At 52.8% G+C, this 25,414-nt stretch overlaps 1 protein-coding gene, 2 long non-coding RNA genes, 1 other non-coding gene and 2 pseudogenes across 8 annotated transcripts in view, besides 6 other annotated features; 3 read left to right on the top strand and 3 right to left on the bottom strand.

Moving 5' to 3' along the window:
• The window catches only part of LOC124907874 (uncharacterized), a 10,413-nt gene extending 8,922 nt beyond the window's left edge, over positions 1–1,491 (bottom strand). Inside the window, exon 1 of the mRNA XM_047446749.1 lies at positions 1,031–1,491. Within this exon, the coding sequence (XP_047302705.1) occupies positions 1,031–1,040 (10 nt within the window). The 5' untranslated portion in view covers positions 1,041–1,491. The remainder of the gene's footprint in view (positions 1–1,030) is intronic.
• DDX11L2 (DEAD/H-box helicase 11 like 2 (pseudogene)) overlaps positions 1–3,283 on the top strand; it is a 4,690-nt pseudogene extending 1,407 nt beyond the window's left edge. Inside the window, exons 1-3 of one of the 2 annotated variants that reach the window (NR_024005.3) lie at positions 735–1,099; positions 1,485–1,593; positions 2,097–3,283. The product of NR_024005.3 is annotated as a DEAD/H-box helicase 11 like 2 (pseudogene), transcript variant 2 (transcript). Of the gene's footprint in view, positions 1–734; positions 1,100–1,466 lie in introns of those variants that run through there. The other variant, NR_024004.2, reaches the window with a different exon arrangement.
• Positions 3,274–18,658, bottom strand: WASH2P (WASP family homolog 2, pseudogene; annotated as a pseudogene). The gene is made up of 11 exons (NR_024077.2): positions 18,383–18,658; positions 13,608–13,761; positions 7,150–7,248; positions 6,796–6,942; positions 6,482–6,618; positions 6,108–6,243; positions 5,733–5,930; positions 5,482–5,640; positions 4,673–4,825; positions 3,845–3,913; positions 3,274–3,704 (listed from the first exon to the last, which is right to left on the bottom strand). The product of NR_024077.2 is annotated as a WASP family homolog 2, pseudogene (transcript).
• Positions 4,397–5,381: an enhancer, noted in NCBI's record as "H3K4me1 hESC enhancer chr2:114354507-114355491 (GRCh37/hg19 assembly coordinates)". NCBI's record gives its function as "activates a minimal SCP1, AML or CMV promoter by ChIP-STARR-seq in naive H9 embryonic stem cells {active_cell/tissue: H9 hESC(naive)}" and the evidence as "EXISTENCE:reporter gene assay evidence [ECO:0000049][PMID:30033119]".
• Positions 9,380–10,237: an enhancer, noted in NCBI's record as "H3K27ac-H3K4me1 hESC enhancer chr2:114349651-114350508 (GRCh37/hg19 assembly coordinates)". NCBI's record gives its function as "activates a minimal SCP1, AML or CMV promoter by ChIP-STARR-seq in naive H9 embryonic stem cells {active_cell/tissue: H9 hESC(naive)}" and the evidence as "EXISTENCE:reporter gene assay evidence [ECO:0000049][PMID:30033119]".
• Positions 18,083–18,914: an enhancer, noted in NCBI's record as "H3K27ac hESC enhancer chr2:114340974-114341805 (GRCh37/hg19 assembly coordinates)". NCBI's record gives its function as "activates a minimal SCP1, AML or CMV promoter by ChIP-STARR-seq in naive H9 embryonic stem cells {active_cell/tissue: H9 hESC(naive)}" and the evidence as "EXISTENCE:reporter gene assay evidence [ECO:0000049][PMID:30033119]".
• Positions 18,265–24,119, top strand: LOC124907875 (uncharacterized). Of its 2 annotated transcripts, XR_007087204.1 has the most exons (3): positions 18,281–19,516; positions 19,826–19,943; positions 23,014–24,119. It is a non-coding gene; the product is annotated as an uncharacterized LOC124907875 (long non-coding RNA). The 2 variants fall into 2 exon arrangements; XR_007087203.1 differs by lacking the exon at positions 23,014–24,119 and having other exon boundaries at positions 18,265–19,516; positions 19,826–22,314.
• Positions 18,307–18,491: a silencer, noted in NCBI's record as "fragment chr2:114341397-114341581 (GRCh37/hg19 assembly coordinates)". NCBI's record gives its function as "represses an EF-1alpha promoter that drives an FKBP-Casp9 reporter gene in an ReSE screen in phorbol 12-myristate 13-acetate-treated (for megakaryocytic differentiation) K562 erythroleukemia cells {active_cell/tissue: K562(+PMA)}" and the evidence as "EXISTENCE:reporter gene assay evidence [ECO:0000049][PMID:32094911]".
• Positions 18,502–18,681: a silencer, noted in NCBI's record as "silent region_11883". NCBI's record gives its function as "represses an Ori minimal core promoter by ATAC-STARR-seq in GM12878 lymphoblastoid cells {active_cell/tissue: GM12878}" and the evidence as "EXISTENCE:reporter gene assay evidence [ECO:0000049][PMID:35858748]".
• Positions 19,215–19,352, top strand: MIR1302-3 (microRNA 1302-3). The gene has a single exon (NR_031632.1). It is a non-coding gene; the product is annotated as a microRNA 1302-3 (primary transcript).
• On the bottom strand, positions 23,459–24,929 carry FAM138B (family with sequence similarity 138 member B). Its single transcript, NR_026821.1, has 3 exons — positions 24,569–24,929; positions 24,125–24,329; positions 23,459–24,022 (listed from the first exon to the last, which is right to left on the bottom strand). It is a non-coding gene; the product is annotated as a family with sequence similarity 138 member B (long non-coding RNA).
• Positions 24,914–25,414: an enhancer, noted in NCBI's record as "H3K4me1 hESC enhancer chr2:114334474-114334974 (GRCh37/hg19 assembly coordinates)". NCBI's record gives its function as "activates a minimal SCP1, AML or CMV promoter by ChIP-STARR-seq in primed H9 embryonic stem cells {active_cell/tissue: H9 hESC(primed)}" and the evidence as "EXISTENCE:reporter gene assay evidence [ECO:0000049][PMID:30033119]".

The following is a 25,414-nucleotide window of genomic DNA, read 5'->3' as shown; positions in this document are numbered from 1 at the left end:
GCAGGTCCGCCCTCGCGGTGCTCTCCGGGTCTGTGCTGAGGAGAACGCAACTCCGCCGTCGCAAAGGCACCCCGCGCCGCGCCGGCGCAGAGAGGCGCGCCGCGCCGGCGCCGGCGCAGAGAGGCGCAGGGCTCTCTTGCTTACAGTGGTCGCCAGCGCCCCCTGCTGGCGCCGGGGCACTGCAGGGCCCTCTTGCTTACTGTATAGTGGTGGCACGCCGCCTGCTGGCAGCTAGGGACATTGCAGGGTCCTCTTGCTCAAGGTGTAGTGGCAGCACGCCCGCCTGCTGGCAGCTGGGGACACTGCCGGGCCCTCTTGCTCCAACAGTAGTGGCGGATTATAGGGAAACACCCGGAGCATATGCTGTTTGGTCTCAGTAGACTCCTAAATATGGGATTCCTGGGTTTAAAAGTATAAAATAAATATGTTTAATTTGTTAACTGATTACCATCAGAATTGTACTGTTCTGTATCCCACCGGCAATGTCTAGGAATGCCTGTTTCTCCACAAAGTGTTTACTTTTGGATTTTTGCCAGTCTAACAGGTGAAGCCCTGGAGATTCTTATTAGTGATTTGGGCTGGGGCCTGGCCATGTGTATTTTTTTAAATTTCCACTGATGATTTTGCTGCATGGCCGGTGTTGAGAATGACTGCGCAAATTGCCGGATTTCCTTTGCTGTTCCTGCATGTAGTTTAAACGAGATTGCCAGCACCGGGTATCATTCACCATTTTTCTTTTTGTTAACTTGCCGTCAGCCTTTTCTTTGACCTCTTCTTTCTGTTCATGTGTATTTGCTGTCTCTTAGCCCAGACTTCCCGTGTCCTTTCCACCGGTCCTTTGAGAGGTCACAGGGTCTTGATGCTGTGGTCTTGATCTGCAGGTGTCTGACTTCCAGCAACTGCTGGCCTGTGCCAGGGTGCAAGCTGAGCACTGGAGTGGAGTTTTCCTGTGGAGAGGAGCCATGCCTAGAGTGGGATGGGCCATTGTTCATCTTCTGGCCCCTGTTGTCTGCATGTAACTTAATACCACAACCAGGCATAGGGGAAAGATTGGAGGAAAGATGAGTGAGAGCATCAACTTCTCTGACAACCTAGGCCAGTAAGTAGTGCTTGTGCTCATCTCCTTGGCTGTGATAGGTGGCCGGCCCTCGCTCCAGCAGCTGGACCCCTACCTGCCGTCTGCTGCCATCGGAGCCCAAAGCCGGGCTGTGACTGCTCAGACCAGCCGGCTGGAGGGAGGGGCTCAGCAGGTCTGGCTTTGGCCCTGGGAGAGCAGGTGGAAGATCAGGCAGGCCATCGCTGCCGCAGAACCCAGTGGATTGGCCTAGGTGGGATCTCTGAGCTCAACAAGCCCTCTCTGGGTGGTAGGTGCAGAGAGGGGAGGGGCAGAGCTGCAGGCACAGCCAAGAGGGCTGAAGAAATGGTAGAACGGAGCAGCTGGTGATGTGTGGGCCCACCGGCCCCAGGCTCCTGTCTCCCCCCAGGTGTGTGGTGATGCCAGGCATGCCCTTCCCTAGCATCAGGTCTCCAGAGCTGCAGAAGACGACGGCCGACTTGGATCACACTCTTGTGAGTGTCCCCAGTGTTGCAGAGGTGAGAGGAGAGTAGACAGTGAGTGGGAGTGGCGTCGCCCCTAGGGCTCTACTGGACCAGCGTCTCCTGTCTCCTGGAGAGGCTTCGATGCCCCTCCACACCCTCTTGATCTTCCCTGTGATGTCATCTGGAGCCCTGCTGCTTGCGGTGGCCTTATAAAGCCTCCTGGTCTGGCTCCAAGGCCTGGCAGAGTCTTTCCCAGGGAAAGCTACAAGCAGCAAACAGTCCGCATGGGTCATCCCCTTCACTCCCAGCTCAGAGCCCAGGCCAGGGGCCCCCAAGAAAGGCTCTGGTGGAGAACCTCTGCATGAAGGCTGTCAACCAGTCCATAGGCAAGCCTGGCTGCCTCCAGCTGGGTGGACAGACAGGGGCTGGAGAAGGGGAGAAGAGGAAAGGGGGTTGCCTGCCCTGTCTCCTACCTGAGGCTGAGGAGGGAGAAGGGGATGCACTGTTGGGGAGGCAGCTGTAACTCAAAGCCTTAGCCTCTGTTCCCACGAAGGCAGGGCCATCAGGCACCAAAGGGATTCTGCCAGCATAGTGCTCCTGGACCAGTGATACACCCGGCACCCTGTCCTGGACAAGCTGTTGGCCTGGATCTGAGCCCTCGTGGAGGTCAAAGCCACCTTTGGTTCTGCCATTGCTGCTGTGTGGAAGTTCACTCCTGCCTTTTCCTTTCCCTAGAGCCTCCACCACCCCGAGATCACATTTCTCACTGCCTTTTGTCTGCCCAGTTTCACTAGAAGTAGGCCTCATCCTGACAGGCAGCTGCACCACTGCCTGGCGCTGTGCCCTTCCTTTGCTCTGCCCGCTGGAGACGGTGTTTGTCATGGGCCTGGTCTGCAGGGATCCTGCTACAAAGGTGAAACCCAGGAGAGTGTGGAGTCCAGAGTGTTGCCAGGACCCAGGCACAGGCATTAGTGCCCGTTGGAGAAAACGGGAATCCCAAAGAAATGGTGGGTCCTGGCCATCCGTGAGATCTTCCCAGGGCAGCTCCCCTCTGTGGAACCCAATCTGTCTTCCATCCTGTGTGGCCGAGGGCCAGGCTTCTCACTAGGCCTCTGCAGGAGGCTGCCATTTGTCCTGCCCACCTTCTTAGAAGCGAGACGGAGCAGACCCATCTGCTACTGCCCTTTCTATAATAACTAAAGTTAGCTGCCCTGGACTATTCACCCCCTAGTCTCAATTTAAAAAGATCCCCATGGCCACAGGGCCCCTGCCTGGGGGCTTGTCACCTCCCCCACCTTCTTCCTGAGTCACTCCTGCAGCCTTGCTCCCTAACCTGCCCCACAGCCTTGCCTGGATGTCTATCTCCCTGGCTTGGTGCCAGTTCCTCCAAGTCGATGGCACCTCCCTCCCTCTCAACCACTTGAGCAAACTCCAAGACATCTTCTACCCCAACACCAGCAATTGTGCCAAGGGCCATTAGGCTCTCAGCATGACTATTTTTAGAGACCCCGTGTCTGTCACTGAAACCTTTTTTGTGGGAGACTATTCCTCCCATCTGCAACAGCTGCCCCTGCTAACTGCCCTTCTCTCCTCCCTCTCATCCCAGAGAAACAGGTCAGCTGGGAGCTTCTGCCCCCACTGCCTAGGGACCAACAGGGGCAGGAGGCAGTCACTGACCCCGAGACGTTTGCATCCTGCACAGCTAGAGGTCCTTTATTAAAAGCACACTGTTGGTTTCTGCTCAGTTCTTTATTGATTGGTGTGCCGTTTTCTCTGGAAGCCTCTTAAGAGAAGAACACAGTGGCGCAGGCTGGGTGGAGCCGTCCCCCCATGAAGTACAGGCAGACAGAAGTCCCCGCCCCAGCTGTGTGGCCTCAAGCCAGCCTTCCGCTCCTTGAAGCTGGTCTCCACACAGTGCTGGTTCCGTCACCCCCTCCCAGGGAAGCAGGTCTGAGCAGCTTGTCCTGGCTGTGTCCATGTCAGAGCAACGGCCCAAGTCTGGGTCTGGGGGGGAAGGTGTCATGGAGCCCCCTAGGATTCCCAGTCATCCTCGTCCTCCTCTGCCTGTGGCTGCTGCGGTGGCGGCAGAGGAGGGATGGAGTCTGACACACGGGCAAAGGCTCCTCCGGGCCCCTCACCAGCCCCAGGTCCTTTCCCAGAGATGCCTGGAGGGAAAAGGCTGAGTGAGGGTGGTTGGTGGGAAACCCTGGTTCCCCCAGCCCCCGGAGACTTAAATACAGGAAGAAAAAGGCAGGACAGAATTACAATGTGCCGGCCCAGGGCGGGCAGCGGCCCTGCCTCCTACCCTTGCGCCTCATGACCAGCTTGTTGAAGAGATCCGACATCAAGTGCCCACCTTGGCTCGTGGCTCTCACTGCAACGGGAAAGTCACAGACTGGGGTGAAGAGTTCAGTCACATGCGACCGGTGGCTCCCTGTCCCCACCCCCATGACACTCCCCAGCCCTCCAAGGCCACTGTGTTTCCCAGTTAGCTCAGAGCCTCAGTCGATCCCTGACCCAGCACTGGGCACTGATGAGAAAGCGGCTGTTTGAGGAGCCACCTCCCAGCCACCTCGGGGACAGGGCCAGGGTGTGCAGCACCACTGTACGATGGGGAAACTGGCCCAGAGAGGTGAGGCAGCTTGCCTGGGGTCACAGAGCAAGGCAAAAGCAGCGCTGGGTACAAGCTCAAAACCATAGTGCCCAGGGCACTGCCGCTGCAGGCGCAGGCATCGCATCACACCAGTGTCTGCGTTCACAGCAGGCATCATCAGTAGCCTCCAGAGGCCTCAGGTCCAGTCTCTAAAAATATCTCAGGAGGCTGCAGTGGCTGACCATTGCCTTGGACCGCTCTTGGCAGTCGAAGAAGATTCTCCTGTCACAGTTTGAGCTGGGTGAGCTTAGAGAGGAAAGCTCCACTATGGCTCCCAAACCAGGAAGGAGCCATAGCCCAGGCAGGAGGGCTGAGGACCTCTGGTGGCAGCCCAGGGCTTCCAGCATGTGCCCTAGGGGAAGCAGGGGCCAGCTGGCAAGAGCAGGGGTTGGGCAGAAAGCACCCGGTGGACTCAGGGCTGGAGGGGAGGAGGCGATCTTGCCCAAGGCCCTCCGACCGCAGGCTCCAGGGCCCGCTCACCTTGCTCCTGCTCCTTCTGCTTCTTCTTCTCCAGCTTTCGCTCCTTCATGCTGCGCAGCTTGGCCTTGCCGATGCCCCCAGCTTGGCGGATGGACTCTAGCAGAGTGGCCCGGCCACCGGAGGGGTCGACCACTTCCCTGGGAGCTCCCTGGACTGGAGCCGGGAGGTGGGGAACAGGGCAAGGAGGAAAGGCTGCTCAGGCAGGGCTGGGGAAGCTTACTGTGTCCAAGAGCCTGCTGGGAGGGAAGTCACCTCCCCTCAAACGAGGAGCCCCACGCTGGGGAGGCCAGACCTTTGAAGACTGTGTGGGGCCTGGGCACTGACTTCCGCAACCACCTGAGCGCGGGCATCCTGTGTGCAGATACTCCCTGCTTCCTCTCTAGCCCCCACCCTGCAGAGCTGGACCCCTGAGCTAGCCATGCTCTGACAGTCTCAGTTGCACACATGAGCCAGCAGAGGGGTTTTGTGCCACTTCTGGATGCTAGGGTTACACTGGGAGATACAGCAGTGAAGCTGAAATGAAAAATGTGTTGCTGTAGTTTGTTATTAGACCCCTTCTTTCCATTGGTTTAATTAGGAATGAGGAACCCAGAGCCTCACTTGTTCAGGCTCCCTCTGCCCTAGAAGTGAGAAGTCCAGAGCTCTACAGTTTGAAAGCCACTATTTTATGAACCAAGTAGAACAAGATATTTGAAATGGAAACTATTCAAAAAATTGAGAATTTCTGACCACTTAACAAACCCACAGAAAATCCACCCGAGTGCACTGAGCACGCCAGAAATCAGGTGGCCTCAAAGAGCTGCTCCCACCTGAAGGAGACGCGCTGCTGCTGCTGTCGTCCTGCCTGGCGCCTTGGCCTACAGGGGCCGCGGTTGAGGGTGGGAGTGGGGGTGCACTGGCCAGCACCTCAGGAGCTGGGGGTGGTGGTGGGGGCGGTGGGGGTGGTGTTAGTACCCCATCTTGTAGGTCTGAAACACAAAGTGTGGGGTGTCTAGGGAAGAAGGTGTGTGAGCAGGGAGGTCCCCGGCCCAGCTCCCATCCCAGAACCCAGCTCACCTACCTTGAGAGGCTCGGCTACCTCAGTGTGGAAGGTGGGCAGTTCTGGAATGGTGCCAGGGGCAGAGGGGGCAATGCCGGGGCCCAGGTCGGCAATGTACATGAGGTCGTTGGCAATGCCGGGCAGGTCAGGCAGGTAGGATGGAACATCAATCTCAGGCACCTGGCCCAGGTCTGGCACATAGAAGTAGTTCTCAGGGACCTGCAAGATTAGGCAGGGACATGTGAGAGGTGACAGGGACCTGCAGGGGCAGCCAACAAGACCTTGTGTGCACCTCCCATGGGTGGAATAAGGGGCCCAACAGCCTTGACTGGAGAGGAGCTCTGGCAAGGCCCTGGGCCACTGCACCTGTCTCCACCTCTGTCCCACCCCTCCCACCTGCTGTTCCAGCTGCTCTCTCTTGCTGATGGACAAGGGGGCATCAAACAGCTTCTCCTCTGTCTCTGCCCCCAGCATCACATGGGTCTTTGTTACAGCACCAGCCAGGGGGTCCAGGAAGACATACTTCTTGTACCTACAGAGGTGACATGGGGGTCAGGCAAGCTGACACCCGCTGTCCTGAGCCCATGTTCCTCTCCCACATCATCAGGGGCACAGCGTGCACTTGGGGTCCCAAGCCTCCCGAGCCGAGCCACCCCAGTCACCCCCTGGCTCCTGGCCCATGTGCTGTACCTGTGTCTGATGCCCTGGGTCCCCACTAAGCCAGGCCGGGCCTCCCGCCCACACCCCTCGGCCCTGCCTTCTGGCCATACAGGTTCTAGGTGGTGTTGAAGAGCAGCAAGGAGCTGACAGAGCTGATGTTGCTGGGAAGACCCCCAAGTCCCTCTTCTGCATCGTCCTCGGGCTCCGGCTTGGTGCTCACGCACACAGGAAAGTCCTTCAGCTTCTCCTGGGAGGGCCAGGATGGCCAAGGGATGGTGAATATTTGGTGCTGGGCCTAATCAGCTGCCACCCCATCCCAGTCAGCCTCCTCTGGGGGACAGAACCCTATGGTGGCCCCGGCTCCTCCCCAGCATCCAGTCCTCCTGGTGTGTGACAGGCTAAGTTATGTGCGCAGCCAGCAGACCTGCAGGGCCCGCTCGTCCAGGGGGCGGTGCTTGCTCTGGATCCTGTGGCGGGGGCGTCTCTGCAGGCCAGGGTCCTGGGCGCCCGTGAAGATGGAGCCATATTCCTGCAGGCGCTCTGGAGCAGGGTACTTGGCACTGGAGAACACCTGTGGACACAGGGACAAGTCTGAGGGGGCCCCAAGAGGCTCAGAGGGCTAGGATTGCTTGGCAGGAAGAGGGTGGAGTTGGGAGCCTGGGCGAGAAGAAAGCCCAAGGTACAGGTGGGCAGCAGGGCAGAGACTGGGCAGCCTCAGAGGCACGGGGAAATGGAGGGACTGCCCAGTAGCCTCAGGACACAGGGGCATGGGGACTACCTTGATGGCCTTCTTGCTGCCCTTGATCTTCTCAATCTTGGCCTGGGCCAAGGAGACCTTCTCTCCAATGGCCTGCACCTGGCTCCGGCTCTGCTCTACCTGCTGGGAGATCCTGCCATGGAGAAGATCACAGAGGCTGGGCTGCTCCCCACCCCCTGCACACCTCCTGCTTCTAACAGCAGAGCTGCCAGGCCAGGCCCTCAGGCAAGGGCTCTGAAGTCAGGGTCACCTGCTTGCCAGGGCCGATCTTGGTGCCATCCAGGGGGCCTCTACAAGGATAATCTGACCTGCAGGGTCGAGGAGTTGACGGTGCTGAGTTCCCTGCACTCTCAGTAGGGACAGGCCCTATGCTGCCACCTGTACATGCTATCTGAAGGACAGCCTCCAGGGCACACAGAGGATGGTATTTACACATGCACACATGGCTACTGATGGGGCAAGCACTTCACAGCCCCTCATGATCACGTGCAGCAGACAAAGTGGCCTCTGCAGAGGGGGAACGGAGACCGGAGGCTGAGACTGGCAAGGCTGGACCTGAGTGTCGTCACCTAAATTCAGACGGGGAACTGCCCCTGCACATAGTGAACGGCTCACTGAGCAAACCCTGAGTCCCGACCACCGCCTCAGTGTGGTCTAGCTCCTCACCTGCTTCCATCCTCCCTGGTGCAGGGTGGGCCCAGTGATATCAGCTGCCTGCTGTTCCCCAGATGTGCCAAGTGCATTCTTGTGTGCTTGCATCTCATGGAACGCCATTTCCCCAGACATCCCTGTGGCTGGCTCCTGATGCCCGAGGCCCAAGTGTCTGATGCTTTAAGGCACACATCACCCCACTCATGCTTTTCCATGTTCTTTGGCCGCAGCAAGGCCGCTCTCACTGCAAAGTTAACTCTGATGCGTGTGTAACACGACATCCTCCTCCCAGTCGCCCCTGTAGCTCCCCTACCTCCAAGAGCCCAGCCCTTGCCCACAGGGCCACACTCCATGTGCAGAGCAGCCTCAGCACTCACCGGGCACGAGCGAGCCTGTGTGGTGCGCAGGGATGAGAAGGCAGAGGCGCGACTGGGGTTCATGAGGAAGGGCAGGAGGAGGGTGTGGGATGGTGGAGGGGTTTGAGAAGGCAGAGGCGCGACTGGGGTTCATGAGGAAAGGGAGGGGGAGGATGTGGGATGGTGGAGGGGCTGCAGACTCTGGGCTAGGGAAAGCTGGGATGTCTCTAAAGGTTGGAATGAATGGCCTAGAATCCGACCCAATAAGCCAAAGCCACTTCCACCAACGTTAGAAGGCCTTGGCCCCCAGAGAGCCAATTTCACAATCCAGAAGTCCCCGTGCCCTAATGGGTCTGCCCTGATTACTCCTGGCTCCTTGTGTGCAGGGGGCTCAGGCATGGCAGGGCTGGGAGTACCAGCAGGCACTCAAGCGGCTTAAGTGTTCCATGACAGACTGGTATGAAGGTGGCCACAATTCAGAAAGAAAAAAGAAGAGCACCATCTCCTTTCAGTGAGGAAGCGGGGCCACCACCCAGCGTGTGCTCCATCTTTTCTGGCTGGGGAGAGGCCTTCATCTGCTGTAAAGGGTCCTCCAGCACAAGCTGTTTTAATTTACCCTAGTTCCCAGGACAGCCTCATTCTGCCTTGGGTGCTGACACGACCTTCAGTAGGTGCATAAGCTCTGCATTCGAGGTCCACAGGGGCAATGGGAGGGAACTGAGACTGGGGAGGGACAAAGGCTGCTCTGTCCTGGTGCTCCCACAAAGGAGAAGGGCTGATCACTCAAAGTTGCGAACACCAAGCTCAACAATGAGCCCTGGAAAATTTCTGGAATGGATTATTAAACAGAGTCTGTAAGCACTTAGAAAAGGCCACGGTGAGTCCCAGGGGCCAGCACTGCTCGAAATGTACAGCATTTCTCTTTGTAACAGGATTATTAGCCTGCTGTGCCCGGGGAAAACATGCAGCACAGTGCATCTCGAGTCAGCAGGATTTTGACGGCTTCTAACAAAATCTTGTAGACAAGATGGAGCTATGGGGGTTGGAGGAGAGAACATATAGGAAAAATCAGAGCCAAATGAACCACAGCCCCAAAGGGCACAGTTGAACAATGGACTGATTCCAGCCTTGCACGGAGGGATCTGGCAGTTCATTCAACACCTGGTTAGAAAACTGGGGCCAGCACACAGGGGAAGGGTAAGCTGGTTTCATGATCGAATCAAGGCTCAGACAATTTTTAAAGGCCAGAGGGTAGACTGCAATCACCAAGATGAAATTTACAAGGAATAAATGTGAAGCCCATTTAGGTTTTAAAAATCAAGCGTATAAATACAGAAGGTGGAGGGAACTTGCTTTAGACACAGTTCAGGTGAAGAAAGACCTGGAAACTTCTGTTAACTATAAGCTCAGTAGGGGCTAAAAGCATGTTAATCGGCATAAAAAGGCAATGAGATCTTAGGGCACACAGCTCCCCGCCCCTCTTCTGCCCTTCATCCTTCTTTCAATCAGCAGGGACCGTGCACTCTCTGGGAGCCAACACAGAAAACAGAGGTGCATCCAGCACCACAGAAAACAGAGCCACCACAGAAAACAGAGGGGTGACTGTCATCCCCTCCAGTCTCTGCACACTCCCAGCTGCAGCAGAGCAGGAGGAGAGAGCACAGCCTGCAATGCTAATTTGCCAGGAGCTCACCTGCCTGCGTCACTGGGCACAGACGCCAGTGAGGCCAGAAGCCGGGCTGTGCTGGGGCCTGAGCTGGGTGGTGGGGAGAGAGTCTCTCCCCTGCCCCTGTCTCTTCCGTGCAGGAGGAGCATGTTTAAGGGGAAGGGTTCAAAGCTGGTCACATCCCCACCAAAAAAGCCCATGGACAACGAAAAGCCCACTAACTTGTCCAGTGCCACAGGAGGGGCAAGTGGAGGAGGAGAGGTGGCGGTGCTCCCCACTCCACTGCCAGTCGTCACTGGCTCTCCCTTCCCTTCATCCTCATTCCCTATCTGTCACCATTTCCTGTCGTCGTTTCCTCTGAATGTCTCACCCTGCCCTCCCTGCTTGCAAGTCCCCTGTCTGTAGCCTCACCCCTGTCACATCCTGACTACAATAACAGCTTCTGGGTGTCCCCGGCATCCACTCTCTCTCCCTTCTTATCCCTTCCGTGACGGATGCCTGAGGAACCTTCCCCAAACTCTTCTGTCCCATCCCTGCCCTGCTCAAAATCCAATCACAGCTCCCTAACACTCCTGAATCAACGTGAAGTCCTGTCTTGAGTAATCCGTGGGCCCTAACTCACTCATCCCAACTCTTCACTCACTGCCTTGCCCCACACCCTGCCAGGGAGCCTCCCGTGGCACCGTGGGGACACAAAGGAACCAGGGCAAAGCTCCCTCAGCCCCATTCAAAGAGGCCTGGCCCACAGGCTCACGGAAAGTCAGCCTCTCATGCCCCGAGAGCTGAGTGCAAGGGAGAGGCAGCGCTGTCTGTGCTTCCCATGCAGAAGCACCCCCCTCCCACCCCTGTGCAGGCCGGCCTTCGCGGCAGACCACCATACACCACGTTCCAAGCCACACTGAGGCCTCCCTCCAAGCCTGCGGCCCCCATTTCCAGACCCCACCAGGGCAACCTGCATATCCACCTCCCTACCCTGCCCCCCTCTTCCAGGAGTCTGCCCTGTGTGGAGTAAGCACGTGGTTTTCCTCTTCAGCAACTATTTCCTTTTTACTCAAGCAATGGCCCCATTTCCCTTGGGGAATCCATCTCTCTCGCAGGCTTAGTCCCAGAGCTTCAGGTGGGGCTGCCCACAGAGCTCCTCAGTCTAAGCCAAGTGGTTGTGTCATAGTCCCCTGGCCCCAGTAATGGATTCTGGGATAGACATGAGGACCAAGCCAGGTGGGATGGGTGAGTGTGGCTTCTGGAGGAAGTGGGGACACAGGAGAGCATTCTTTCCTGCTGGACCTGACCCTGTGTCATGTCACCTTGCTACCACGACAGCATGGCCTGTCTGGGAATGCAGCCAGACCCAAAGAAGCAAACTGACATGGAAGGAAAGCAAAACCAGGCCCTGAGGACATCATTTTAGCCCTTACTCCGAAGGCTGCTCTACTGATTGGTTAATTTCTGCTTAGCTTGGTCTGGGGAGTTCTGACAGGCGTGCCACCAATTCTTACCGATTTCTCTCCACTCTAGACCCTGAGAAGCCCACGCGGTTCATGCTAGCAATTAACAATCAATCTCGCCCTATGTGTTCCCATTCCAGCCTCTAGGACACAGTGGCAGCCACATAATTGGTATCTCTTAAGGTCCAGCACGAGGTGGAGCACATGGTGGAGAGACAGATGCAGTGACCTGGAACCCAGGAGTGAGGGAGCCAGGACTCAGGCCCAAGGCTCCTGAGAGGCATCTGGCCCTCCCTGCGCTGTGCCAGCAGCTTGGAGAACCCACACTCAATGAACGCAGCACTCCACTACCCAGGAAATGCCTTCCTGCCCTCTCCTCATCCCATCCCTGGGCAGGGGACATGCAACTGTCTACAAGGTGCCAAGTACCAGGACAGGAAAGGAAAGACGCCAAAAATCCAGCGCTGCCCTCAGAGAAGGGCAACCACGCAGTCCCCATCTTGGCAAGGAAACACAATTTCCGAGGGAATGGTTTTGGCCTCCATTCTAAGTGCTGGACATGGGGTGGCCATAATCTGGAGCTGATGGCTCTTAAAGACCTGCATCCTCTTCCCTAGGCTTCCCTCGGGCACATTTAGCACAAAGATAAGCACAAAAGGTGCATCCAGCACTTTGTTACTATTGGTGGCAGGTTCATGAATGGCAACCAAAGGCAGTGTACGGGTCAAGATTATCAACAGGGAAGAGATAGCATTTCCTGAAGGCTTCCTAGGTGCCAGGCACTGTTCCATTCCTTTGCATGTTTTGATTAATTTAATATTTACAATAATTCTACCAGGAAGCTACCATTATTACCACAACTTCACAAATGAGAACACCGAGGCTTAGAGGGGTTGGGTTGCCCAAGGTTACAGAGGAAGAAAACAGGGGAGCTGGATCTGAGCCAAGGCATCAACTCCAAGGTAACCCCTCAGTCACTTCAGTGTGTGTCCCCTGGTTACTGGGACATTCTTGACAAGCTTGGGGCAAGCCGGTGAGTCCGTGGGGGAGGACTTTCAGGAAGAAGTGGGTTCCCAGTTGGTGACAGAAGAGGAGGCTGCAAAGCGAAGGAGCAGGGGCTCCAGGTCTGGCAACAACCAGGGAAGGGACAGGGCAGGGATGGCTTGGACCACGAGAGGCACCTGAGTCAGGCAGTCACATACTTCCCGCTGGGGTCTACCATGTGAGGCATGGTGTGGAATCCTGGGAAGGAGACCAAGCCTCATTTCAGTTTGCTTATGGCCAAAGACAGGACCTGTGTACCCGACAACCCCTGGGACCTTTGCCAAAAAAACAGCAAACACCATTCACTCACTCATGTTAGATAAACACTGAGTGAAGTCACTGGAGCCCAAGGACTGTGCGAGGTCAGCACTGCCAATACAAGAAGCTGCAGCCCTCCAGCTCGCCTCCCTCAATGGCCACTCCGTGCTCCAGCCATGCTGGCTTCCTTTTAGGTCCTCCACCTCCAGGCTGTAGTTCATGTGCTTCTTTCTGGAATGTTCTTCCCAACCTACCCACTCAACCCTCAGACTTTACCATAAATGTCATTTCCTCACATCTGCCTTCCCTGACCTGAGACCAAGCCAGGCTTCCCATGACGAGCCTCACAGTACCCCATCTCCCCTGAACAGATGCAGTAATAACCTACATAACCCAGGACCATGATCTATGGCTTTGAATCCTGGCTCTGTCACTAGGCCAGGTCTCTCAGCCTTTCTGTGCCTCAGTTTCCTCATCTATAAAATGAGATGACGGCAGTGCCTGCTCATGAAGTGTGAGTTAATGCACTCAAATCAATGGTGGTGCACGGTTTATATGAATATTAGTGATTACAAAATATTATCAATAGACCTTGTCACAACTGTTATTGAAGAACTAATCATCTATTGCTTATTTAGGTCTTTCTCTCCTGCCAGAATGTGCGCTCCAGGTGGAGAGGTATGTTGCCTTATCCGTGGCTGGATATATAGAGATTCCCACACTGCCTTGCACACGAGCACTACTGGGTAAATATTTGTTGGCTGCAGGAAAACGTGAAGGAATAGGCCCTCCAATGGGAGGAAAAGCATGAGTTGTGAGAGCAGAGCCACCACAGGAAACCAGGAGGCTAAGTGGGGTGGAAGGGAGTGAGCTCTCGGACTCCCAGGAGTAAAAGCTTCCAAGTTGGGCTCTCACTTCAGCCCCTCCCACACAGGGAAGCCAGATGGGTTCCCCAGGACCGGGATTCCCCAAGGGGGCTGCTCCCAGAGGGTGTGTTGCTGGGATTGCCCAGGACAGGGATGGCCCTCTCATCAGGTGGGGGTGAGTGGCAGCACCCACCTGCTGAAGATGTCTCCAGAGACCTTCTGCAGGTACTGCAGGGCATCTGCCATCTGCTGGACGGCCTCCTCTCACCGCAGGTCTGGCTGGATGAGGGGCACGGCATAGGTCTGACCTGCCAGGGAGTGCTGCATCCTCACAGGAGTCATGGTGCCTGTGGGTCGGAGCCGGAGCATCAGAGCCACCCACGACCACCGGCACGCCCCCACCACAGGGCAGCGTGGTGTTGAGACAACACAGCCCTCATCCCAACTATGCACATAGCTTCAGCCTGCACAGATAGGGGAGTAGGGGACAGAGCATTTGCTGAGAGGCCAGGAGCGCATAGATGGGACTCTGCTGATGCCTGCTGAGTGAATGAGGGAAAGGGCAGGGCCAGGGACTGGGGAATCTGTAGGGTCAATGGAGGAGTTCAGAGAAGGTGCAACATTTCTGACCCCCTACAAGGTGCTTGCTACCTGCCAGGCACCCTTTCCATACATTGTCTCAGTTCAGCTCCCCACCTTGGATAAACAAGAAACCTTGGTTGCAGAGGAAAGAAGAGGCTGGAAACAAAGGGGTAGAAATGGGGTAGCGGGGGAGATTGCGTGATCAACTGCCAAATGGTACCCAGTTCTGGAAAAGCACAAAAAATGCGCACACACGGGTTCTTCCCACTTTAACCCCTGAGGAATTTGAGGCCTGCTCCTGAAACAGACTGGGCAGTGGCTAGTGACTCTAGGTATAGGAGTATCCAGCCCTGCTCACCCAGGCTAGAGCTTAGGGGGCCAAGAGGAAAGAGGTGCCTGTGGGGGTAGAGGACAGGAAGGAAAAACACTCCTGGAATTGCACAGTGAGGGCAGAGTCTATTTATATTGGGTTTAATTAACTCCTCTCCCTGGTGCCACTAAAGCAGCAATCACACTGCAGACAGCACTGATTTGATTGGCAAGAGATGCACCAGGCAGAATATTAAGGGACCAGGCCCCTATAAATAGGCCTAATCACAGCCCCTCGCTGGAAAATGGTAAGGAAGACATTAATCAGGCCTGGCACTATGCCCTAGACCTGCTCCCCTAGGCACTACAGTGGGGCCCTTGGTTGCAACACAAGTAGGTAGGGATGGATGAGTGTGGCATGAAGGGCCTAGGAGATTTCATTTGGGTTTAAAATGCTGTGACCTTGAGTAAGTTGCCGTCTCTGAATCTGATCCTTTCCATTTCCCATTCTTCAAACTGAGAACTCGCACTGCTGAGACGTGGTTATTCCCAATAATAATTTGTATATTTTACATAACATACCACACCAACATCTTCACCCAGCTGGAGCCTACTCCTTTGCTCCCCCTGCTGGCTTCCCCAGCCCTCCCTTCTGCCCTCCTCAGGCCAGCACTTTTCAGTGAGTTCCTCCTTTGCATACAGGCTTTCCAGATCTGTACTTGCCTATAATACTCATCAGAGCCCAGGAGTTACTCCTCACCTCCCACTTATTTTTCCTCCCATCAAATAACTAAAGCATGGCCAGCTGATGCCCAGCCAACTGAGAAACCTAACCCTCTGAGACCAGCACACCCCTTTCAAGCATGTTCCTCCCTTCCCTTCTTTGTATTTATACTGATGCAAGTTTGCTGGCTGTCCTAACTTATTTCTGTGCCTCAGTTCTCCCATATGTAAGATCACAAAGGGGGTAAAGATGCAAGATATTTCCTGTGCACATCTTCAGATGAATTTCTTGTTAGTGTGTGTGTGTTTGCTCACACATATGCGTGAAAGAAGAGTACATACACAGATCTCCTCAAAAAGGAGGCAGCAAGCCCGTTCAAGAACGGGACTGAATACACCTGATGAGTGGTTTACTTTCTGTCTGCAAACATCTACTGATCATCTGTTAGGTGCAGGCCATGATCACAACAAAGACGAATAAGACACTACACTAGCCAGGGAGAGTCTCAAAAACAACTAAACTCAAATTAAATTCATTCTACTCCAGTCATGAGTACAAAGCTAAGGAGTGACAAATCCCTCTTGGAGTTAGGGGAGTCAGGAAAAAGCTCTTAGCAGAATGTGTGCCTCTCGGCCGGGCGCAGCGGCTCACGCCTGTAATCCCAGCACTTTGGGAGGCGAAGGCAGGCAGATCACCTGAGGTCGGGAGTTCGAGACCAGTCTGACCAACATGGTGAAACTCCATCTCTACTAAAAATACAAAATTAGCCAGGCGTGGTGGTGCATGCCTGTAATCCCGGCTACTCGGGAGGCTGAGGAAGGAGAATCACTTGAACCGGGGAGGTGGAGGTTGCAGTGTGCCAAGATCGCGCCATGGCACTCCAGCCTAGGCAACAAGAGTGAACCAGGTCCAGGAAGAAGGTGCAAAGACAGCATTCCAGGTAAAAGAAACAGCTTGAACAAAAAGTGTGTAGGGAAACCGCAAGCGGTCTTGAGTGCTGAGGGTACAATCATCCTTGGGGAAGTACTAGAAGAAAGAATGATAAACAGAGGCCAGTTTGTTAAAAACACTCAAAATTAAAGCTAGGAGTTTGGACTTGTGGCAGGAATGAAATCCTTAGACCTGTGCTGTCCAATATGGTAGCCACCAGGCACATGCAGCCACTGAGCACTTGAAATGTGGATAGTCTGAATTGAGATGTGCCATAAGTGTAAAATATGCACCAAATTTCAAAGACTAGAAAAAAAGAATGTAAAATATCTTATTATTTTATATTGATTACATGCTAAAATAACCATACTTGGGATATACTGGATTTTAAAAATATATTACTAATTTCATCTGTTTCTTTTTACTTTTAGAAATCACATATGTGACTTAAATATTTCTTTTCTTTTTCTTTCCTCTCACTCAGCGTCCTGTGATTCCAAAGAAATGAGTCTCTGCTGTTTTTGGGCAGCAGATATCCTAGAATGGACTCTGACCTAAGCATCAAAATTAATCATCATAACGTTATCATTTTATGGCCCCTTCTTCCTATATCTGGTAGCTTTTAAATGATGACCATGTAGATAATCTTTATTGTTCCTCTTTCAGCAGACGGTATTTTCTTATGCTACAGTATGACTGCTAATACTTACACGTTAGAACCATTCTGAGTCCTCAAGAATCTCATTTAACTCTTATTATCAGTGAATTTATCATCCCCAATTTTACATAAGGAAATGGGGTTAGAAAGACCAAATAACATTTTTTCAACATCAAAACACTAGCTTGAGATCAAGCCCAGACTTGATCTGTTGTCTGAATTCCAAGCTTTTTGTTATTTATTGATATGTTTTGTTGTTTTCATGCAATAATGCAAATCTTAGCCCATTTTGTTAGTAGTACCAACTGTAAGTCACCTTATCTTCATACTTTGTCTTTATGTAAACCTAAATTAGATCTGTTTTTGATACTGAGGGAAAAACAAGGGAATCTAACACTAACCAGCCCGTAGTGTGTGGTCAACACTTTCGTTACTTTAGTATACATCACCCCAGTTGTTTGTCTTCACCACACACTTTGGAGTTAGGTAGTAGTATCTATTTTTACAAATAAGAAAACCCAGGCACAAAGGGGTTGATTAGCAATTATCTTTTGAAAAGCCTGTAGTTGCTCATCTGAAGAAGTGACGGACCACCTCTTATTTAGTGGACAGACAATAACTAGTGGAGAAGACAGGGGATTTTGTTGGCGGAAAAAAATTTTTATCAAAAGTCGTCTCCTATCAGGGAGTTTTATGAGAAACCCTAGCTCCTCAGTTCCACAGTGGGTAACTGTAATTCACTCTAGGTCTGCGATATTTCCTGCCTATCCATTTTGTTAACTCTTCAATGCATTCCACAAATGCCTAAGTATTCTTTAATAATGGTGGGTTTTTTTTTTTGCATCTATGAAGTTTTTTCAAATTCTTTTTAAGTGACAAAACTTGTACATGTGTATCGCACAAAATTTCTAGTCGACAGCACTGCTTTACAGAATGTAAACCGTGCACTCCCAGGAAAATGCAGACACAGCACGCCTCTTTGGGACCGCGGTTTATACTTTCGAAGTGCTCGGAGCCCTTCCTCCAGACCGTTCTCCCACACCCCGCTCCAGGGTCTCTCCCGGAGTTACAGGCCTCGCTGTAGGCCCCGGGAACCCAACGCGGTGTCAGAGAAGTGGGGTCCCCTACGAGGGACCAGGAGATCCGGGCGGGCAGCAGCTGCGGAAGAGCCGCGCGAGGCTTCCCAGAACCCGGCCGGGGCGGGAAGACGCAGGAGTGGGGAGGCGGAACCGGGACCCCGCAGAGCCCGGGTCCCTGCGCCCCACAAGCCTTGGCTTCCCTGCTAGGGCCGGGCAAGGCCGGGTGCAGGGCGCGGCTCCAGGGAGGAAGCTCCGGGGCGAGCCCAAGACGCCTCCCGGGCGGTCGGGGCCCAGCGGCGGCGTTCGCAGTGGAGCCGGGCACCGGGCAGCGGCCGCGGAACACCAGCTTGGCGCAGGCTTCTCGGTCAGGAACGGTCCCGGGCCTCCCGCCCGCCTCCCTCCAGCCCCTCCGGGTCCCCTACTTCGCCCCGCCAGGCCCCCACGACCCTACTTCCCGCGGCCCCGGACGCCTCCTCACCCGCGAGCCGCCCTCCCGGAAGCTCCCGCCGCCGCTTCCGCTCTGCCGGAGCCGCTGGGTCCTAGCCCCGCCACCTCCGCCCGCGCCTCCGGGTCCTAACGCCGCCGCTCACCCTCCGCTGCGCCCTCCCCGAGCGCGGCTCCAGGACCCCGTCGACCCGGAGCGCTGTCCTGGTGGACCGAGTCGCGGGCCTGGGCACGGAACTCACGCTCACTCCGAGCTCCCGACGTGCACACGGCTCCCATCCGTTGTCTTCCGAGCGTCAGGCCGCCCCTACCCGTGCTTTCTGCTCTGCAGACCCTCTTCCTAGACCTCCGTCCTTTGTCCCATCGCTGCCTTCCCCTCAAGCTCAGGGCCAAGCTGTCCGCCAGCCTCGGCTCCTCCGGGCAGCCCTCGCCCTGGGTGCGCCCCGGGGCAGGACCCCCAGCCCAGGCCCAGGGCCCGCCCCTGCCCTCCAGCCCTACACATTGACCCGCTTTCCTGCGTCTCTCAGCCTATCTGACCTTGTCTTTACCTCTGTGGGCAGCTCCCTTGTGATCTGTTTAGTTCCCACCCCCCTTTAAGAATTAAATAGAGAAGCCAGACGCAAAACTACAGATATCGTATGAGTCCACTTTTGTGAAGTGCCTAGAGTAGTCAGAATTCACAGAGACAGAAGCAGTGGTCGCCAGGAATGGGGAAGCAAGGCGGAGTTGGGCAGCTCGTGTTCAATGGGTAGAGTTTCAGGCTGGGGTGATGGAAAGGTGCTGGAAATGAGTGGTAGTGATGGCGGCACAACGGTGTGAATCTACTTAATCCCACTGAACTGTATGCTGAAAAATGGTTTAGACGGTGAATTTTAGGTTATGTATGTTTTACCCCAATTTTTAAAAAGCTAGTGAAAAGCTGGTAAAAAGAAAGAAAAGAGGCTTTTTTAAAAAGTTAAATATATAAAAAGAGCATCATCAGTCCAAAGTCCAGCAGTTGTCCCTCCTGGAATCCGTTGGCTTCCCTCCGGCATTTTTGGCTCTTGCCTTTTAGGGTTGCCAGATTAAAAGACAGGATGCCCAGCTAGTTTGAATTTTAGATAAACAACGAATAATTTCGTAGCATAAATATTTCCCAAGCTTAGTTTGGGACATACTTATGCTAAAAAACATTATTGGTTGTTTATCTGAGATTCAAAATTAAGCATTTTATATTTTATTTGCTGCCTCTGGCCACCCTACTCTCTTCCTAACACTCTCTCCCTCTCCCAGTTTTGTCCGCCTTCCCTGCCTCCTCTTCTGGGGGAGTTAGATTGAGTTGTAACAAGAACATGCCACTGTCTCACTGGCTGCAGCGTGTGGTCCCCTTACCAGAGGTAAGGAAGAGATGGATCTCCACTCATGTTGTAGACAGAATGTTTATGTCCTCTCCAAATTCTTATGTTGAAACCCTAACCCCTAATGTGATGGTATGTGGAGATGGGCCTTTGGTAGGTAATTACGGTTAGATGAGGTCATGGGGTGGGGCCCTCATTATAGATCTGGTAAGAAAAGAGAGCATTGTCTCTCTGTCTCCCTCTCTCTCTCTCTCTCTCTCTCTCTCTCTCTATCTCTATCTCATTTCTCTCTCTCTCTCTATCTCATTTCTCTCTCTCTCTTTCTCTCCTCTGTCTTTTCCCACCAAGTGAGGATGCGAAGAGAAGGTGGCTGTCTGCAAACCAGGAAGAGAGCCCTCACCAGGAACCCGTCCAGCTGCCACCTTGAACTTGGACTTCCAAGCCTCCAGAACTGTGAGGGATAAATGTATGATTTTAAAGTCGCCCAGTGTGTGGTATTTTGTTTTGACTAATACAACCTGAAAACATTTTCCCCTCACTCCACCTGAGCAATATCTGAGTGGCTTAAGGTACTCAGGACACAACAAAGGAGAAATGTCCCATGCACAAGGTGCACCCATGCCTGGGTAAAGCAGCCTGGCACAGAGGGAAGCACACAGGCTCAGGGCTCTGCTATTCATTCTTTGTGTGACCCTGGGCAAGCCATGAATGGAGCTTCAGTCACCCCATTTGTAATGGGATTTAATTGTGCTTGCCCTGCCTCCTTTTGAGGGCTGTAGAGAAAAGATGTCAAAGTATTTTGTAATCTGGCTGGGCGTGGTGGCTCATGCCTGTAATCCCAGCACTTTGGTAGGCTGACGCGAGAGGACTGCTTGAGCCCAAGAGTTTGAGATCAGCCTGGGCAATATTGTGAGATTCCATCTCTACAAAAATAAAATAAAATAGCCAGTCATGGTGTCACACACCTGTAGTCCCAGCTACATGGGAGGCTGAGGCGGGAGGATCACTTGAGCTTGGGAGATTGAGGCTGCAGTGAGCTATGATTGTACCACTGCACTCCAGGCTGGGCGACAGAGAGAGACCCTGTCTCAGGGAAAAAAAAAAGTACTTTGTAATCTGTAAGGTTTATTTCAACACACACAAAAAAAGTGTATATGCTCCACGATGCCTGTGAATATACACACACACCACATCATATACCAAGCCTGGCTGTGTCTTCTCACAAATGCACTGCTAGGCACCACCCCCAGTTCTAAATCACACCAGCCAGTTCACCCTCCAGATGGTTCACCCTCAACTTCATAAAAGTTCCCTACCTAATCTACTGACAGCCTCATCCCCGACCTAATTTTAAAGATTTCCTAGGAGCTGCAATGGGAATCCTGGACCTCAGCCTGGACAAAGAACAGCTGCAGGTCATTCTCATGTGTGGACACGGAAGCCCTGCCTGCCTTTGCTGGCCAGCTGGGCTGAGTGGGCCTGGGAAATTAAGGCTGCAGGGTTGGTCCCAGGCAGTCTTGCTGAAGCTTGCCACATCCCCCAGCCTCCTCGATTTGCCAGGATCCAAGAGCATGGACTTTAGGAATTCCTGGTGGAGGAGTGAAGAAAATGTGACAGGGTGTCCTAAGCCCCGATCTACAGGAAGAAAACTGGAAATAAGACTGAGGACTTAGTTTAAGATGTTCCTACTCAGCCTCTAGCTTTTGTGCTACAGTTCCGGGAACAGACTCCTCTCTCCTGAAAACCATTTCCCTCTGCAGCATTAAATTTCACCAAGATGTCTTGCTTGTGGGAAAGACTTCCAAGGATGCCTGGAGAGAGGAGGATGGAAATGTCCTGCTCTCTAAACAGATAGACAGATGCAGCCAGACAGAAAATAGTTTATCTTGCTGAGGTTTCTAATGTATTTGAAAGAGGCCTGGGTCTAGAAGTCTACCCAGAGGGCTCTGTGTTGTGCACGCAAAGATAAGAACCTTCCCTGTGGGAGTTCCAGAGCCAGTTTTCATAAACACCCATCGGTGACTGTGTTCAGAGTGAGTTCACACCATCCTGACCTGCCCTGAGTTAGACCTTACATGGTCTTCCTCCTCTAGGAAGCCTCTGCAGCCCAGGAACCTCCCCTTATCTGAAATGAACAGCATTTGAAGCTTCACCAGACAGACCAGACAGCTTAGCCCTCGTGTTGTGCTATGTGGGTTGTTCTCTGAGAGGCAGGAGAGCATAGTGGTTACTAGGAAGGGAAGGACTTTGGGACTAGACTGCCTCGGCTGGAGTCCTCTTTCTGCTTCATAGCCACGTGATCCTAGGCATGTTACCTGTGCCTCAGTTTTCACTCTATCAATATGTAATAACTGAATCTGTCTTTGTGGTGAGGATTCAGTGAGTTAACATATTTGAAGTGCTTAAAAATGAGGCTTGTGTCCATAGATTAATGAGTGAATACACAAATGGTGATATGGACATACAGTGGAGTATTAGTCATAAAAAGGAAGGCAGAGCTGATCCATGGCACCATGTGACTGAACCTCAAAAGCATTAGGTTAAGTGGAAGAAGCCAGACACAGGTCACCTATTGTGTAATTCCATTTATAGGAAATATACAGAATATGTAAATCTGTGGAGAAAGAAAGCCGATTTCCAGGGGCTAAGGGGAGGGGAGAATGGGAAGTGGCTGCTTCATGGGTACAAGGTTTCATTTTGAGCTGATGAAAATGTTTTGGAACTACATAGAGATAGTGTTGGCACAACATGGTGAATGTACTGAATGCCACTGATTGTTCACTTTAAAATGGTCAAACTTATGTGAATTTCACCTCCATTAAAAAAAAAAAAAAGGACCAGATGTGGTTGCTCACATCCATAATCCCAACACTTTGGAAAAAGGTGAAAGTTTTTTTTCTTTTTTTTTTTATATACTTAAGTTCTAGGGTACATGTGCATAATGTGCAGGTTGGATACATAGATATGCGTGTGCCATGTTGGTTTGCTGCACCCATCAACTTGTCATTTACATTAGGTATTTCTTCTAATGCTATCCCTCCCCCAGCCCCCCACCCACTGACAGGCCCCAGTGTATGATGTTCTCTGCCCCATGTCCAAGCGCTCTCATTGTTCAATTCCCACCTGTGAGTGAGAACATGCAGTGTTTGGTTTTCTGTCTTTGTGATAGTTTGCTCAGAATGATGGTTTCCAGCTTCATCCATGTCCCTGCAAAGGACATGAACTCATCCTTTTTAATGGCTGCATAGTATCCCATGGTATATATGTGCCACATTCTCTTAATCCAGTCTGTCATTGATGGACATTTGGGTTGGTTCAAAGTCTTTGCTATTGTGAATACTGCCACAATAAACATACATGTGCATGTGTCTTTATAGTAGCACGATTTATAATCCTTTGGGTATATACCCTAAGACCTGGGACGCATTTAAAGCAGTGTGTAAAGAGACATTTATAGCACTAAATGCCCACAAGAGACCTCTGCCTGAGAACGTGGGTTTCAGCCTAAGAGCTGTAATATGTGTGCCCATTCACAGGTGCTGCATCAGAGTCCCAGGTGGGAAGAAGGCAAGCATACACAAAAATGGTAAAAGGCAGAAAGGAGCCCAGAGTCTCATTCTTTTTAAGAAGTTTTCCTAAGAATCTCCACCCAGCGACTTGCTCTCACATCTTCTTGGCCAGCACTGGACCACACAACTCCTTCTAGATACATAGGAGTCCTAGGATTCTATGAGAAAGAAGGGGAGGGTGGGCAAAGGGCAGCCAGCTGTGCAGCATCTGCTGGAGACACCTAACCCTTGGTGGAGGGGTTGTGGTGCTGGGAGAAGGCTTTCTGGACGGTGTGACAGCAGAGATAAACTTAAAGGCCAAGTAGGAGTTACCCTGGTGAAGCAGGGCAGGGTTACAAGCATTCCAGCAACATGAAGCAGCAGGAGTGTTTTAATTAAAAGAAGGCAGTTGCTGTAACCAACTATAAACAAATAAAGGCTTAAACACAATGGAAGTTTATTTCTCACTAAGGGAACATCCAAATCCATGATACTTTAAGTCAGGGACCCAGGTTCCTCCCATCTATGGTTCTGCCATCACTAATCTGGGTCTTCCACAATTGCCGTGCTCCTTGGAAGTGGGAAGAGCAGGCGGAGGACACGTGGGAGGTTTTAGGGACAAGCCTGGAGGCAGCATGCGTCACTCCCATGCAGAGTCCATTGGCCAATGCTGGCTCCGATGGCCACATCTCACTGCAGGGGCAGCTGGGAAATACAGTCTGGCTGTCTACCCAGGAGGAAGAGCAGCCAGTTTCTGCTGCTGATGATCAGGAGGTGGAGAAAATGTTCAGTCAGGCAGGGAGTGGGAATAGACAAGACCACAAGCAGCTTGGTGCCTCTGAAAGGGAGAGGGGTGGAGGGGAGACTAGAGAGGTGGGTAGGAATACTGGATTCCACTGACCACGTGCTGGATGTCACGCTTAGCCCTCCTGCTCTGTGCCGGGTTAGGCACCTGGTGTTTTACGTACATAATCTCAATTCTGTGAGGGCATCCGACCTGTGGGAAAAGAGCTGTTTGTTTCAAATGCTACTCCTGCTTCCTAACAAGTGTTTAGAGCTTAATCGTGTTCAAAATACATATACAATGTTTAATACTTACAAGAATTTGGAGGGGAAAATATTACCATCTTTCCCTTTTATGATTGGAGAAAAATGAGGCTTTGAAGGGTTTAAGAACTTGCCCAAGGTCGGCCAGGTGCAGTGGCTCATGTCTATAATCCCAACTCTTTGGGAGGCTAAGGTGGGAGGATCGCTTGAGGCCAGGAGTTCAAGACCAGCCTGAGCAACATAGTGAGACTTTGTCTCTATAAAAAATAAATAAATAAATAAAAAGAACTTGTCCAAGGTCAGACAGGCAGCCTCTTAGTAAGCACACATATCCTCTATATTATACTACCTCTCATGGAGGATCTCCTGTGTTCTACAAATAGTCTGGACTTGAGCCAGAATGTGTTATAATCCTGGGATCACGGCCAGTGGGCTTAGAAGAAGCCATCTCTTTCTCATGCCAAGATGAGGCTCCCCCAGATTTGCTCAGACTTACCTATAGTCAGCAGCATCGGGGGTCAGGAAAGACTTCATGAAGCCATAAATGCATCCTTCTCGGGGCAGCACCTGGCTCTCCCAGGTGAGAGAGGACTCCATTTTCACAGGCAGGCGTGGGAGCTTCAGCACCCATCTCTGGGCCCAGAATGACCCACTGGAGACCTTACAGCTCTCCTGTCACCCCCAATTCCTGCCCCCTCTGCAGCCTTGGAGGAGAATGGAGCTGAAGGGCCTGCCCTCTGTAGGGTGAGAAAGGGAGGCTAAAGCCTGGTGCCCACTGCCCTGGCTGCTCCGCATTGCAGGAGCTGCGCCCTTCCTTTCCTGGCACAGGGTCCACAGCCCCGAAACCCCGTTGTGTGGGAGCTGGGCACAGGGCAGCAGGACTAATCCTTGGAACAGCTCAGGGAGGATTATCCCAGCCACTGTCAGCAGCGGTGCAGCTGGCTCATTCCCATATAGGGGGAGGCCAGAGCCGGGGGCCTGCCACAAGTTGGAAGGCTGGGGAAGGGGAGGCCAGCAGAGGTGTCCTGGCTGTGGGTGGCTCTGAGGGGGCTCTCAGGGATGGGGCTAAATCTCAGGGGCAGGATTAGGTAAATCAAACCAATTCTAGCCACAGATTTAAAGTTTGGAAAAAAAAAAAAAACCCAGCCTGGCGGAAAGAATTTAAATTATAAAAACTTAGAAGTATGGAATGTGAAATCATCCTGTAGGTGCTTATTTAACAACGAAATCATCCCGACACAATGAGCCATATGTGAAAAGTCCTCCTTCCCCAACACATCCCCCAACAGGCACTCCTCAAACCTCTACCACCCAAGTGCTGGCATCCTCCCTGTCCTGCTTC

The sequence above is a fragment of the Homo sapiens genome, chromosome 2 (genome assembly GCF_000001405.40).
Source record: "Homo sapiens chromosome 2, GRCh38.p14 Primary Assembly".
In the NCBI taxonomy this organism is placed as follows: Eukaryota; Metazoa; Chordata; class Mammalia; order Primates; family Hominidae; genus Homo; species Homo sapiens.
Note: the sequence above shows the minus strand (reverse complement) of the source record. Positions and strands in the feature narration are given on the sequence as shown.